Source organism: Homo sapiens, chromosome 1, assembly GCF_000001405.40.
Source record: "Homo sapiens chromosome 1, GRCh38.p14 Primary Assembly".
Taxonomy (NCBI): Eukaryota; Metazoa; Chordata; class Mammalia; order Primates; family Hominidae; genus Homo; species Homo sapiens.
In genome coordinates, this window is record NC_000001.11 from 86,878,537 (window position 1) to 86,895,028 (window position 16,492).

Sequence of the window (16,492 nt, forward strand, 5' to 3'; positions counted from 1 at the left end):
CTGGGTGTGGTGGCGTGCGCCTGTAGTCCCAGCTACTCAGGAGACTGAGGCAGGAGAATCACTTGAACCTGGGAGGCAGAGGTTGCGGTGAGCTGAAATTGCGCCACTGCACTCCAGTGTGGGCGACAGTGAGACTCTGTCTCAAAAAAAAAGAGAGAAAAGAATATGAAGCAGTGAAGACATGAAAGTTAGTTTGGTATTTGTAATTACTGTATAAATCAACAACTCTCCATGTTCTATTTCAGAATATCTTTAAGATGGAAATTCTGAGGGTGGGAATTTAATAATGGTTTTATCACAATTATAACAACTTTTCACGGGCTCAGAAAATACTGGTATTATACATAACAATATTAAATACAGTTACACATTATGGAATTAATAATTTTTATTTTAAGCAAGTAGATAATTAAATATTTACACAAAGCATTAAAATTCAATTGTTTTCAAAAGGAAAAGACAGTATGATATATATACCCAAGGTTTGATAATTTACATAAGAAATATATATTACGGTAGATAATAAAATCTGATATCATAACTAGGAAGGCCAATCACAGTATCTAAGCTACTCTTGATTCTCATGAAAATCTAAGTTATAAAATGTTGTTTTTAATAAAACAAGTAAGTATAAATAATCAATGCAGCTAAAAATCAATTGCTAAAACTTTCTAGAAATAAGAATGCTCACACTATCATTCAGAGAATGGATATAAAAAAGCCAAAACAACTGTGGTACAATTCTGAGTTTAAGTGTTTGAGGCAAAATAAATAAATAAATAAATCAGAGTAAGAAATTTTTTTCCCAAGCAAAAGTAAATATCTTCTTTGCTACATCAGAATGTGTTATTCTAACAAAGACTGTTTTTGATTAGATATGTATCTGCTTTGGGCCTCATTAAGTATCCCAAGTCAAACTACTATATTACATTTCTGTGCCAAATGATCAATATTTTATTATAAACAATTCTAGGTCAGCAATAAAAAGCATGTGCTAATACAGGCAATGTTATAAAATATTAAATCCAAAAAATTCTCTTGCCATTAACTAAATAAGGCAAGAAATCACGGGAATGTCAGCAAAAATCGAGGTAGAATGAGGTATGTAAATTGAATACTTATGTATTTCAGTTAAAAAAAAGAGAGAAAGCGTTATTACCTTCAGACAAGTTCAGTTTCATAAAACTGATTTTCAAAGTGACATGCAAGACAAAAGCCTTAGTTCAAGCCTTTCTTGGCAATGCAAAGCTCCTCATTACTATTGGATGTCAACCCAAAGAATATACCTTCACAATTATCCTTTAACATGTTTACCCAAAATTCCCTGTGAAGATATATACATATGACTTTCTCTCTTTTGTATTTCAAATTCTTTGGCAATTACTTCTTTCCTTGGTGATTTGTTATTTTGTACAGGTCTACTCTTAATGCAATTGTTCCACATAAATCAATTCACATTTAAAATAAACTACAGCGGTGTGCTACTTAAAGAAATTACACTTACATCTTGGAAAGGCTCCTGCAAAATTCCCACCCGGCAAAGGAAAGGCTCTTCTTTTAAGAAAATAACCCCTTCATGTGTTGTATTTTAAATCTGAATTTCTTTTTTTTTTTTTTGAGACAGAGTCTCGTTCTGTCGCCCAGGCTGGAGTGCAGTGGCGTGATCTCGGCTCACTGCAACCTCTGCCTCCCGGGTTCAAGTGATTCTCCCGCCTCCGCCTCCCGAGTAGCTGGGATTATAGGCACCCGCCACCGCGCCCAGCTAATTTTTGTATTTTTAGTAGAGATGGGGTTTCACCATCTTGGCCAGGCTGGTCTCGAACTCCTGACCTCGTGATCCACCCACCTTGGCCTCCCAAAGTGCTGGGATTACAGGCATGAGCTGAGTGTGACCCACCACGCCTGGCCTCTAAATTTCATATATTGTGTTTTTTTTAAAGTAACATAGCATTCACCAATTACTTTAACAAACCACTTCCATGAAAACAAATTGAAAAAAAAGCATATATTGTTAAGAAAGTATAATCCTAAAAATTCTTATTCCTGGGAATATATAGTGAAAACGATTCACATAAAATGTTGATTTTAAATGACTGAACAGTTTACTGGAGTAAATTTTATATACCTTGGACTTGAGGGAACCTTCCCAATTTTCATCCACAAACTTCAAGAATAGCTCCTGCATACAGCTACAAAAGGAAAAACAGGAATTTAAAAAACTGGTATAAATTAAAAATGTACTTATAAAATAAATATAAATTTTCACAGTATAAACATTACAGTTAGCAGATATATAGATCAAAGAAATGTCAAAGCTGGTTAGCCAGACAGGACCATGTAGTTCCAGTCTAATGGAAGAGAAGATGGAGGCCCAAGTATAATAAATGGTAGAGAAACTTCCAACCTACTTCAATTATTCTTAAACCTAGCCAAAAAGACCGAAGGAGATAAGGAGATTTGACAATAAACTTTAAATAGGTAAGATGTCCTAGGAAGCGCTACAAAATATTAAAGGTTTCCTACCTTTTTTTTAGGGTGATAAACTGAATATAGGTATATATCATCTATCCAAGATAGTTACTTAATAAAAATTCTTTCTGGTGGCTTTTAATATTAAGTGATCAAAGTTTTAAAATTAAAACAATCGTTATAGAAAGTACTATGTGGAGATATTATAAGAAAAGCAGTAAAATCTCATTATAAAGAACTCAAATGCAAATATTTTCCTTTAATGAAATTTAGCTGAAATGGATTCAATGGTAAGTATCTCTTTTCTAGCTATAGAACCTGCACATTCTCTTTATAGTAAAAGCTCATTATAAAAAACTCAAATGCAAATATTTTATTGCAATGAATTCAGCTGAAATGGATTCAATGGTAAACACCACTTTTTTTGTAGTTGCAGAGCCTGACTATTCTTTTTATAGGGCAGGAATATACTTGGAAATGCTGTGACCATAAGAGAAGGCTGGCAATTTTAAGAACGTATCATATCCATTTCATTTCTTCTTGGTTTTTAGATTTGTTTTTTATGGAGGTTCAAGAAAGATGGACTTTATTTTTTCAGGTTCTAAAACAGCATTTACTTAATTAAAAACAACAACAACAACAACAACACATGCCCTATGCATGTTTATTTAAAATAGTTTGGAAAATACAGAAAGGCATAAAGTAGTGATTAAAAAACTACCTTAATGTGACCTAAAAAGACAATGATTCTTAACAGTTTGATGACTTTGGGCTGGATCAATTCTTACGTTTTTGGGGAGTCACTGACCCTTCTGAGAATCTGATAGAATTTCGCTTTAATGCAGGCTGTTCATGGACTCTGAAACCAATGATGGATTTCAGATTAAGAATTCTGATGATCTCTAAGGGTCACTGCAGCAATAAAACTTTAAGAATAGGTTAATTTGGCCAGGCATGGTGGCTCATGCCTGTAATTGCCGCTCTTAGGGAGGCTGAGGTGGGCGGATCACGAGGTCAAGAGATAGAGACCATCCTGGCCAACATGGTGAAACCCCGTCACTACTAAAAATACAAAAATTAGCTGGGCGTGGTGGCGCATGCCTGTAATCCCAGCTACTCGTGGGGCTGAGGCAGAAGAATTGCTTGAACCCAGGAGGCGGAGGTTGCAGTGAGCCGAAGGTTGCAGTGAGCCGAGATCACGCCACTGCACTCCAGCCTGGCAGCAGAGCAAGACTCTGTCTCAAAAAAAAAAAAAAAAAAAAAAAAGAAAGAAAGAAAGAATAGGTTAACTTAATTTTATGCAATAAGTTGCTTTTCAAAAAGATATGGCTAATCTTGGTTAGACAACTCCAGAAAAAAAATCTTGAAAAATATAAGGCCATATTACCAATAAGCTAATGAAGGGATGGTCAATATTACTAGAGATTAGGGAAATGCATATCAAAACCACAATGAGATCCCACTTCACATCACTGGGATAGCTATTATTAAAAAAAAAAAAAAAAGAGATGAGGATGTGGAGAAATTGGAACCCTTGTACACTGCTGTTGGGAATGAGAAGTGGTCCAGTGGCTACAGAAAATGGAATTGCAGTTTTGCAAAAAATTAAAAATAGAATTACCATATGATCTGCAATTCTACTTCTGGGTATATACTCAAAAGAAGTGAAAGCAAGGCCTCAAACAGATATTTATACACCCATGTTCACAGCAACATTATTCACAATAGCCAAAAGGTGGGAAAAAACTCATGTGTTCATTAACAGATGAATGGAAAAACAAAATATGGTATATACATACAACAGAGCATTATCCAGCTTTTAAAAGGAAGCAGATTCTGACTGGGTGCAGTGGCTCACGCCTGTAATTCCAGCACTTTGGGACGCCGAGGTGGGCGGATCATCTGAGGTCAGGAGTTCGAGACCAGCCTGGCCAACATGGTGAAACCCTGTCTCTACTAAAAAATACAAAAATTGGCTGGGTGTGGTGGCAGGCGCCTTAATCCCAGCTGCTTGGGAGGCAGAGGCAGGAGAATTGTTTGAACCCAGGAAGCAGAGGTTGCAGTGAGCTGAGATAAAGCTACTGCACTCAAACCTGGGGGACAAGAGCGAGACTTGTCTCAAAAAAAAAAAAAAAAAATTCGGACACATATTACAATATAAACGAATCTTATTACAACATTAATGACATCTTGCTAAGTGAAATAAGGCAGTCACAAAAGGACAAATGTTTAAATGAGGTAACTAGAGTAGCCAAAAATTCACAATGGTAGTTGTCAGTGGGGGCAAGGAATAGGGAGTTATTGTTTCATGGGTGTAAGTTTCAGTTTGGGAAGACTCCGGAGAAAGATGGTTAACACAGTTGTACAACAATGCGAATGTACTTAATGCCATAGCACTCTACACTTAAAAATGGTTAAAATAGTGAATTTTAGTGTATATTTTACACTAAATAGTGTATAGTGTATGTACACTAGTGTATAGTGTACGTACACTAAATAGTGTATAGTGTACATACATAGTGTATAGTTAAAATAGTGAATAGTGTACATTTTACTATAATTAAAAGCATATAAGGCCATATTTAGATTTGGTTATTAGATTTATCTTTTGTTTATAAGCCTTTAGAAACTCTTGGTGGAGATTCCACTACCTTACCTAATAATATTTCTCTATACCACTGTTTCTTTATATCATGATACATGTGGGAAATGATAATGATTGTACGGAGCACTGCAGTAAAAGGATGAAGCAGCTTTTAAATGGGCAAGACTAGCCTGGGAGCCCTGCTTACCTCAGGCCCCACTTGGTTGTCTCAAGGGCTCAAGGACTCAGTATCTTACCACACCCATAACCCACTCATGGGAAGCTTGTCTCTGCACCACAAAATATCAACTGATTAACCAAAAATATTAGAAACATATCCTTTAATGAGCAGGCAGCTCAGATGTGACCTTTTTCAAAAAAACTTTTGTTGATTTCCTCGTCTCAGGTAAGGATTTTCCTAGTAAACTTTCACAGAACTTTGTTCTCATCATAATGTGCATCAAATAGCCTGTAACTTGACAGCAGACAGGAAATGTCTTAATTTCCCCCAGAATCAGACACAAAGCTTCTCAATATAGGTGTGCCGAAGGGAGAGAACTATTCATATAACAAAATTAAATGCCTCTTTTTTCATGACAAAACTTCAAAAATATTTCAAGTTCCTTTGACAAAGTTTGTAGAGTAGTTCCAGTCCAGGGTAAACAAAAGAAAATGGATGGAACTCAAAGTTGCAGAGCATTATTAAAAGTCAAACTCTAAAAGCATTAATCTGTGTTGTTAGCGGGCGCACATACATACACACACACACACACACACACACACACACATATACACACACATATATATACACGCACACACATATATATATATGATTTGTGGTGTTCACTGGAAAATATTTGTTTTTCATGGCGAATAAATAACTTAACTACAGATTGTAGTAAATTTAAAATGCCATATAATCCTAAGTATCTTTGGCACTACATACAAATTCACACACAATGAAATATATGCTACTTATAAATAGTAGAAATTCTCTAGTGCATAAAGAAATGACAAATAAAGTTAATTCCCTGATTTAACCAAGTTCCAACCTCAGTATTTTTACTTTTTAAAGTGACTAGCATACAAAATTTTTAATCTTCAAACATTTAGGGAAAAATACCATTACAAGAGAAAAATCAAAGAAGAAAGTCATATAACTTCTAACAGCAAGTTGGTAGGCCTTTTTAAAAATACGAATTAGAGGAGTCTTACTTGTACAGACAATCTAACTCTAGCCCATTATTGTATTAGGACTAGGGAAATGTAAGAAATCATTAGGAAAATATGAGAACGATACACAAACTGCATCTTTTCCCTTTGGAGTCTCTATTTCCATGTAACTTATGACCGTCAGATTTTTCTAAACTTCTGATATGGTTCTCTGGGTGGGGGAAGTAGAAATATCTAACTACCTCAGCTCTATCACTAATGTGCCTTAGTTGTAACAGGATTTTAAAATATGCGAATTTCCCATTTAAAAAGGTGATTTTTATTCATTAGTCTTCGGATAAATTCCAGCTTTGTGGTTAGTTGATGTTTTCCCAGTTTAAATATTTTAACTACTACAGGTACTACAGGTTGAGCATCTCAAATCTGAAAAAAATCTGAAATCCAAAACACTTCTAGTCCCAATAATTCCAGATAACAGCTACTCAAACTGTACTGAGATTAGTAAGGGGTTAAGTGAGGTTTCACATGTAGAAAAAGGCCACACTATTTTTGTAGCTATCTTTGTTATAATTAAGGTCCAACTAGTTGCCACAAAAATGTTCAAAAAGCTGGTCTATGCTGTTTCTCACCAGATAGCTAGATTCCAAAATAAGTTCATTTATAACACTGAACAAAGGTGACACTTGAGAATTACACACATTTTCTGAATTTTTTAAAAAGTGCAGTATTTGTTAACTCTTGTGCCATCATCATACCACTACCACCACCACCAGCACCATTACACATTTATAAACCTGTCCAAGTCAGAAATACTCTACTTTCCAATACGAAGCACTTAAAGTATTTTTGTTGGTAACAATAACCACGGCTCTAAAGAAACATGACCTTAAGAAAACCTTGATAAACTAATTATTTAAGTTGAGTCAAACTAAATATCAAATTTTCATACGGCATGGTATAGTGAAAAGAGTCCAAGCTGTCAAATCAAAGTTGTATGTGGTCCAGTTCTGGCTCTGCCACTTACAAGCAGTATGCCCCCTTGGGTAAGTCATTCACTGAGCTTCAGTTTACTGTCTCAACAAAAGGGTTATTTACTTCCAGAATTGCTATAAGAAGTCACCAAAAAAAGTGAAAAGCCTGGATTTTTTAGATGCTCAATATATAACATCTTTTATTATAAGATTAATACTTCCACAGTATTGGTTAAGTTCAAGTTGTGTACGTGAGGCCATTATCATGTCTACTTAATAGAATTTTCAGTTCAGGGACTATTCAGGGATATTACTCATTGTTCGTCTGTAATGAAAATGGCCACTCCAAATTTTCTCAAGCTTTCAAATTCAAACTACCTTAGAGCGGAGTTCTCAACCCTGACAGTACACTAGAATCACCTGGAAATATTTTGAACATTACTGATCCCTAAAACCTACCCCAGATAAACTAAATTAGGATATCTAGGGGTGAGATCCATGCATCAGTATTTTTAATTACTACTCAAATGATTGTAATGGGCAGGCAGGGATGAGGAATACTGCCTTATACTATGTTATATTAATAGGGCAAAAATTGCAAAATGGTAAAACAGTAGGCTCTTTGTTCAACAGATTAACTGCATTAATCTGAAAAGGTAAACCATAAACATCGACTGAAGCAAGACAAATGTTACAGTACTTTTTTTTTTTTCCCTTTCCTTATGAGGTACTGCTTGTAGCTATAGATTCTCATTTTGGAAACTATTTTATTTAAAATCGAAAGGTTAGTATTAAAGCAATTCCACAGTACCAACAGAAAAAAACTAAGATATTTTAAAACCTGTAATTAAACTTGGTTTTTATCCTCCTAAAGTGCTAGTTTTGTTTATATTAAAAGAAGTTTTTCAAACCAAGTTAATATAACCATTAGCATAATAATTATAAATGCTATGTAGCAATATGAAGAAAATGCTGTTAGGTGAACAAAAGCAAAAATTTTTACTGCTGAAGAGAATTCATATCTGAGGAATAACTGTATTTTATAGGTCTATTGAAGGTTTGCCTTTAAATAAAATGAAGGGATTTTAAAATAAGGAAGCATGGCTATAGTATGATAAAAGCTGAGCACTGTATTATTTAGATATTCCAATGAAAAATCAATTATGATACACTCAAATATAAATGAGTCACTTTTCCAAACACTAATAATATCCAGTATAATTTTAAAAAATCAACTTTATTCCTTTCATACAGCAGAAAAATACATCACACAGAAACTATTTTTAGCAAAATTTGGTCAGCGAATTCTCAGGGAAAATATTATCACCTAAACCATGTTTAGTGATCTACTGGTGTTTTAAATTTGCTGTTCATCTTCAAGTCTTCCCCATACTTTCTGATTAATGACACTTTCATACTCACTTTGAGTGATGGCATTCTTGCTTAGAAACAATGGATGAATACTGAGGATTAGGGGAAAAAAAATCAGCGTTATAATTTTAACAAACAAAGCTGGCAAATATAATTCTCCAATACTATATCTGAGATTAAATTACTACTCATCTTGGAGTGCTTTTTACTAAATTCTGAAAAAATACAAAGCAATGAGTTTATGCCTAAGGAAACTCACTAAGTTTAAAACTTATTTTACTATACCATTAAAGTGTTATTCCTTTTTGTATCTTTAGTTTCTGCCTTGAAACTGAGAAGAAAAGTTATAAAACAAGCAAGTAACATCTACCTTGATTTAAACTAGGCTCTACAGATGCTAAGAATACATTGGAGGAATCTTTCCATAAAGATACAATGTTGAACTAAAAAGCTCAATGAAAATATACAAAAAAACCCCTAAAAATGAAAATGATATCAGTGCATTCTAGGTTAGACCATTCTAACTATGAAACCTGAAAGAAAAAAGGATTAGGTTTCTTTCAATACTGTGATGACAAACAGGAGTTCTATATACACCTATAGAATTTACATATACACCTAAAATAAGGGGTAAGACTGTAATGATGAGACTCTCATTAGGAAAAAAAATACATCCCCAGTCCCCACCCCTATGTATACTTTAGCTACAAGTATGAATGATCCAGGGTCATCACTTGGGAACAGTGCATTCAGTTCTGCCAATACTTAGGAAATATCACATGATGAAAAAAAAAGTAACTTGAGGAAGTGAGAATGTGACCACTATATTTTCTGAGATCCAATATCCAAAGAATTGGTAAAAATGACTCAAAGCGGCCAGGCGCGGTGGCTCACACTTGTAATCCCAGCACTTTGGGAGGCCGAGGTGGGCTGATCACCTGAGGTCAGGAGTTCCAGACCAGCCTGGCCAACATGGTGAAACCCTGTCTCCATAAAAATACAAAAATTAGCCAGGCATGATGGCGGGTGCCTGTAATCCCAGCTACTGGGCAGGCTGAGGTGGGAGAATCACTTGGACCTGGGAGGTGGAGGTTGCAGTGAGCTGAGATCACCCCACTACATTCCTCCAGCCTGGGCAACAGAGTGAGACTCCATCTCAAAAAAAAAAAAAACAACAAAACCAAAACAGACTCAAAGCTTGAATACCATAGTAAGTGTTTTTAAATGAAACCAACTAGCCCCTTGGTAATACTAAAAGTATTTTAGAAAATGGAAAACTGAAAATGAAGGTCCTAATAATATATGGAAGCAAGGATGCCTTTCAGAAGAAATCTTTTTTTTAAAAATTTTTGTAGAGATGGGGTCTTGCTATGTTGCCCAGGTTGGTCTCAAACTCCTGGACAAAGTGATCTTCCTGCCTTGTTCTCCCGAAGTGTTAGGATTACAGGTGTGAGCCACCGTGCCCTGGCAGAAGAAATAATTTCTTTGCATCACTGCTGATATTATCCCTCCAATACTGAACAACCACTATTTGTCATAAAAAGAATAGTTATGATCAACATATATATATTTTTTTGAGACGGAGTCTCGCTCCCATTGCGCAAGCTAGAGTGCAGTGGTGCGATCTCGGCTCACTGCAACCCCCACCTCCCAGGTTCAAGCGATTCTCCTTCCTTAGCCTCCCAAGTAGCTGGGATTACAGGCGTGCGCCACCACGCCTGGCTAATTTTTGTATTTTTGCCATGTTGGCCAGGCTAGTCTTGAAATCCTGACCTCAGGTGATCCACCCGCCTTGGCCTCCCAAAGTGCTAGGATTACAGGCGTGCCTGGCCAGTTATGATCATCTTTAAGAAAGATTATAAATATCTGAAAACAATAAGAAACAAAGCTACTAAAACAAATTAAATTGTGGTATCTCCCTATAGATAGTAATCACCTAATACATTTGAACTTTAAAAAGATACAAAAATAAAGCTATAATAATCCAAGAGTTTCAATATTATACAAAATTTAAGAGCAGCAATATAAAACTAGAAAAAAAAGAAACGAGGCCATTCCACACATTTAAAATTTTTGCTTTACTCTGTCAATATACTATTTTAGAATTCATTATGGCAGCCAAATAAAATTCATGGCCTTTTAAATTAAAACTTTTTTGAAGAAAAAAGGTTTTCTTCAAAATAAATTTTTCTTCAAAAATAAAACTGTTGGCTGGGCGCGGTGGCTCAGGTCTGTAATCCCAGCATTTTGGGAGGCGGAGCTGGGTGGATCATGAGGTCAGGAGTTCAAGACAAGCCTGGCCAAGATGGTGAAACCCTGTTTCTACTAAAAATATGAAAATCAGCTGGGTGTGGTGGCACATGCCTGTAATCCCAGCCACTGGGGAGGCTGAGACAGGAGAATCACTTGAACCTAGGAGGTGGAGGTAGTAGTGAGCTGAGATCGCGTCACTGCACTCCAGTCTGGGCGACAGAGCAAGACTCCATCTCAAAAACAAACAAACAAAACAACAACAACAAAAAAACTATTTACAGCTAAGGGGTATGCTTTATTAAAAGTTATTCTGTTGCTGCCCCTTCTCCCATCCATTATTGCCTTAATGGGCCATCTTGTAACTAGCTGGTCTCTCTCCTGTGTTAGGGTTACCAGTTTCTCCAGCAAGAACACTGGGAAGCATCCCCACTTACCCCTTTTCTCTCCAATTCAGTCTAATAAATCCAAATAAATAAATTTATTGCCTAAATTGATTTCAAATCTGTCCTTTTTCATTTTCACAGCCAATGTGTTGGTTTAAGCCCTTGTATCTTGCCTCTGGAAAACGGCAAACTATTTTTCTGGCATAAGTATTCCCCTCCGCCTTATCAACTATTGTTCACACCAACAAAAGTTATTAAAATACAAATCTGATACCAGTTTACTCTTTATAATCCTTTAATTTTGTCCCCTGCATACAGAATAAAGTTCAACTTCTTATGAAGGTATATAAGGCCCTCTATTATTTGGCCCCTGCTTACCTAATCATCATCTTCTCTCATCATAACCCAGCTATCTGATTTATCTTAGATGGCCATACTCTCATGCCTCTGTGCCTTTCCACTAACTTTTCCTTTTGCGAGAGAAAAGGCCTTCTCTCAACCATTTGCCTACTTACTATAAGCATTAACTCCTACATAAGCAAGTGGTGATATTTACCTGACCTGCCAAGTGGTTATGCCCTCCTTCTAAGAGCTTTCATTGCATACATGTATGTTTTGTTTATAGCACATATCTCATTGAATTCTTTTAAAAAAATCAATGCATGTGGACATAATAAAAAAAGTATAAAAGGGTTATAAAATAAGAAGTAAACATTTCCTCTACCTTCTACCCTCTACTTAATAACTCTTTTTTTCTTTTTTAATTTGGAGACAGAGCTCGCTCTGTTACCCAAGCTGGAGTGAAGTGGTGTGACCATGGATCACTGTAGCCTCGACCTCCTAGGCTCGAGTGATCCTCCGGTAGCCTCAGCCTCCCAAATAGCTAGGACCACAGGTGTGTGTCATCACACCCAGCTTTTTTTTTTTTTTTAATTTTTTGTAGAGATGGAGGTCTTGGTCTTGCCATTTTGCCCAGGCTGGTCTCAAACTCCTGGCCTCAAGTGATCCTCTCGCCTTCGTCTTCCAAAGTGTTGGATGGGATTACAGGCGTGAGCCATCATGCCTGGCCTACGCATTAATATTTAAACTGTTTTTAGTTCTGTTGGTCACTTCCATAAAGATTAATATGGTTGTATCTATAGCTCATGAGATACCAGCTTTAAGAGCTCTTAGTTCCCCTTTCCTTCCAACTTTTATTTAATTTAATTCTTTTAGTGGTTACCTTCGTAACATTAGATATTATGTTTTCGTCCAACAAACAGAATATCATATCAACAGTATTCTGGCAGTCCAGCTTCCATGCCTATTTTTTCTTTTTTTTTTTTTTAGATGGAGTTTCATTCTTGTTGCCCAGGCTGGAGTGCAATGGCAAGATCTCAGCTCACTGCAACCTCTACCCCCTGGGTTCAAGCGATTCTCCTGCTTCAGCCTCCCGAGTAGCTGAGGTTACAGGCATGTGCCACCACGCCTGGCTAATTTTGTATTTTTAGTAGAGATGGGGTTTCTCCATGTTGGTCAGGCTGGTCTCAAACTCCCGACCTCAGGTGATCTGCCTACCTCAGCCTCCCAAAGTGGTGGGATTACAGGTGTGAGTCACCACACCTGGCTTCCATGCCTATTTTTTCTACTCCTTGAAGACAAGGAGTCTTATTTTTCTTTGATCTTAACCCAGGAAGAAATATTTAGTGTATAAATGGAAAGTTTATTTTGATTCTGAGGTGGGTATGTCTAGGAAATGCAGTTGTAAGGCAGTTTGAATTACTTTAAGGGTTTATTTTCGTTTTGAGCATTGCAGTCTGCAAATGTGGCAGAAAGTTGTAATATGTTTAGATAGAATCTGATCCTAATTTGTAATTATGTAAAAGAACTGACTGCATTTATATTTCATATTAAAAGCAGATATAAAAAAATTTTAAATAATATTTTGGGTTCAATTAAATAACTTCATAAAATAAACTTAAAATTCTGTTATACAAATACATGAAACATATATTGATACTTAATTCACTCTATGATCTTAGGTAAGATCTCTATGCCTAAGACTCAACTACGAAATAAAGATAATAATGGAATTTACCGAGTTGTTGTGAGGTTCTATAAATTCATTTAAAGTGGTTGGAACAGTACCTTCAGATAACAACTTAATGAATGTTAGTGGTTATTATTAAATAAACATTTATGTTATTATTTAGTTTTTTTTTTTTTCTAGAGATGAAGTCTCGCTCTGTTGCCCAGGATGGAGTGCAGTGGCGTGATCTCGGTTCAATGCAACCTCTGCCTCCCAGGTTCAAGCGATTCTCCTGCCTCAGCCTCTGGAGTAGCTGAGATTACAGGAGCCCGCCACCATGCCCAGTTAATTTCTTTTGTATTTTTAGTAGAGACGGGGTTTCACCATGTTAGCCAGGATGGTCTCGATCTCCTGACCGCATGATCCACCCCCCCGGCACGTTGCCTCCCAAAGTGCTGGGATTACAGGTGTGAGCCACCACCCCCGGCCTATGTTATTATTTAGTATTACTGCTACTCAGGAGTCTTAGTGATTCTTACATTGAATGTGAACTGTTGCCAAACATTATTCATATGTTTTAAAAAACCTTCTTTGTGAATAATGCTTTTATATTATAATTAGAATATGTTAAAGACATTTAGATTTTTGCTTTGAAGATACCAGTCCATGTACTGATGCTTACAGACACACGACAAAAGTGAAGCTATTTTAAGCAACTGTGAAATTTCTTTAGTGACTACAATTTCACGCAGTTAGCTTAACCTCCATTTCATCCTTCTATGTTTTACACATCAGTAGCATTCTCTTTCTGACAGCCTGAAGCCTAAAATTTGCCATTGTCTTAAATAATGCTGTTTAAGCTGACTTATGAGTAACTGCAACTGGCTACACAATAGCCACGCAAATTGAAAACAACTAAATGTTTTGATGCTCTTTTACCGAATTAAGAAAAATTACATGATTTATATAAAATATTATCTGGCTGGGCCTTAAATAAAGCCCAATTTGGGAACATATTCTTGAAAAACACCAAGTGACAGGAGCCATTAAAGTCTGTGGTAAACTGAGAAATAAGGATTTGGTAATTTTAAATAAAAACTAGTAACGAAATTCTATTATTAATATTGTTAAGTACAAATGGCAAAAGGGGCCTTCAGAAAGACAGCCCAGTGTTTTATATTGAACTCATTCAACTTCTTAAAGTAACTCCGAAGCAGGTCTTACTATTAACATTTTCAAAATAAAAGGTAAAATAGCACAGAGGTTTAAAAACCTGGGGGCTCTAGAATCAAATAGACCTGAGATAAAACCAGGTTTTGGCATCTAATCGCCAGTTAACGGTAGGCAGATTATACCCTAGTTTCCTCTTCTATTAAATAGGGATAATAGTATTTACATTATAGGGTTGTTGTGAGGATTAAATAGATAATGTAGGTAAAACACTTAGCGTATAACCAGTGTAAAATAAACACTAATGTAAGGTAATGTAATTATGACAAAATTGAAGATCCTGGAGTAATGTGCTAGCTCAATCACAAAGTCAGTAAGAAGCTGAGATGAAAATTAAACTCTCGGCTAGGGTATGGTGGCTCACGCCTGTAATCCCAGCACTTTGGGAGGCCAAGGTGGGTGGATCACGAAGTCAGGAGATCGTCTAGACCATCCTGGCCAACATGGTGAAACCCCATCTCTACTAAAATACAAAAAAAAAAAAAAAAAAATAGCCGGGCGTGGTGGTGCACACCGGTAGTCCCAGCTACTCAGGAGGCTGAGGCTGGGGAATTGCTTGAAACCGGGAGGCAGAGGTTGCAGTAAGCCAAGATTGCACCACTGTACTCCAGCCTGGTGACAGAGCAAGACTGTCTCATAAATAAATAAATAAATAAACAAACAAATAAATAGAAAATTAAACTCTCTCAACAATTCTTATAAAAAGAGAGAAAGAGGTAAGCTTCTAATGAGGTATACATGTTAATTAATATTACTTCTGTACTGTCTCTGGCCTGTTGGAGTGCATGCAAATATCAAGGCAGAGTGTAATACATATAAAAAAATGATAATGCTACTATATAAAGCAGGTGACTTAAATTAGTCTAGTTCCAACTAGGAAATGGGAGTGGGAAGTGGAGGGCATCCAATTATATTCATAAATTTATGTTATACACTGCTTAGGTCCACTTATTCAATTCTAGTATAATAAGATTAATATTGAAGATAAGTGTTTTTATTATTTTCCTATTATCTGGAAAGTAGATCTTTAAGTGAAAACAAAAGGCTTTTATCAAATCCCTGACCTGCTGAATTATTTGCCAGAAAAAGTAATGGCATGATTTGGTGATCTGCAGCCTATGCTTCTACTGGTATTTTGTGAAGGGGACCAAGATGTTCTAAAACTCAGATAAATCTCTTCTCAACCTGGAGGTTTTTTTTTTTTTTTTTTAAGTATTACTTTTAAGCTTTTCTCTTCCCAATTTTTCTTAAGCCTTTGAAATCTGTTACCAGGTGATAGGTTACACATATAAATAAGAGAAGAATATTAGTAGAAAAATTTGAAATAATTGCGATTTGTTTGATAGCTTGCTTTGTTTTTTTATGAAATAATTATTTTTATATTACAAACATATAGCTCAATTTATTTTCTGCTATAATGTTACTTCTAATTTTAAAAATATCATGGTTTCCTCCTGATCTGTCATCTGAATAGTAAAAACCAATAAATAATATATTTTATTCTAAACTGACTTTAAAATATGAGTCTCCTTCAATTTTCTGACTAGGTTTGTCATAGAAAATTGAGCTCTACCTGGACAACTGGGTGTGTTGGTTTATGCTTGTAATCCCAGTGACTTGGGAGTCCCAGGGAGAGGATAGCTTGAGGCCAGGAGTTCAAGACCAGTTTGGGCAACATGGTGAGACCTTGTCTCTACAAAAATAGAAAATTAGCTGGGGGTGATGACGCATGTCAATAATCCCAGCTACCTGGGAGGCTGAGGCAGAAGCATCACCTGAGCCCTGGAGTTGGAGGCTGCTGTGAGCTATGACTGCACCACTACATTCTAGCTTGGGTGACAGAGGGAAACCCTATCTCTAAAACAACAACAACAACAACAACAACAAACAAACAAAAAAACCAAAGAAAATTAAGCTCCACTTTAACATTGGTCTTGAGACATTTTTTATTAGCACAACCTTTTTTCCTCCAAATGCAATCTTTCATACATTTTCAAGTGATCAAAACGGCACACATTTATAAAGTGGAAAATTTGTAGTATTTTCCTTT

General features: G+C 36.1%; 1 protein-coding gene across 4 annotated transcripts in view; it reads right to left on the reverse strand.

Moving 5' to 3' along the window:
• Positions 1 to 16,492, reverse strand: part of SELENOF (selenoprotein F) — a 52,133-nt gene that overhangs the window by 16,092 nt on the left and 19,549 nt on the right. For all 4 annotated transcript variants that reach the window (NR_144513.1, NR_144512.1, NM_203341.3 and 1 more), the window contains exon 3: positions 2,126 to 2,189. Coding sequence is in view for 2 of the 4 variants with exons in the window: in NM_203341.3 (NP_976086.1) it covers positions 2,126 to 2,189 (64 nt within the window). In the remaining 2 variants the exon portion in view is untranslated. The remainder of the gene's footprint in view (positions 1 to 2,125; positions 2,190 to 16,492) is intronic.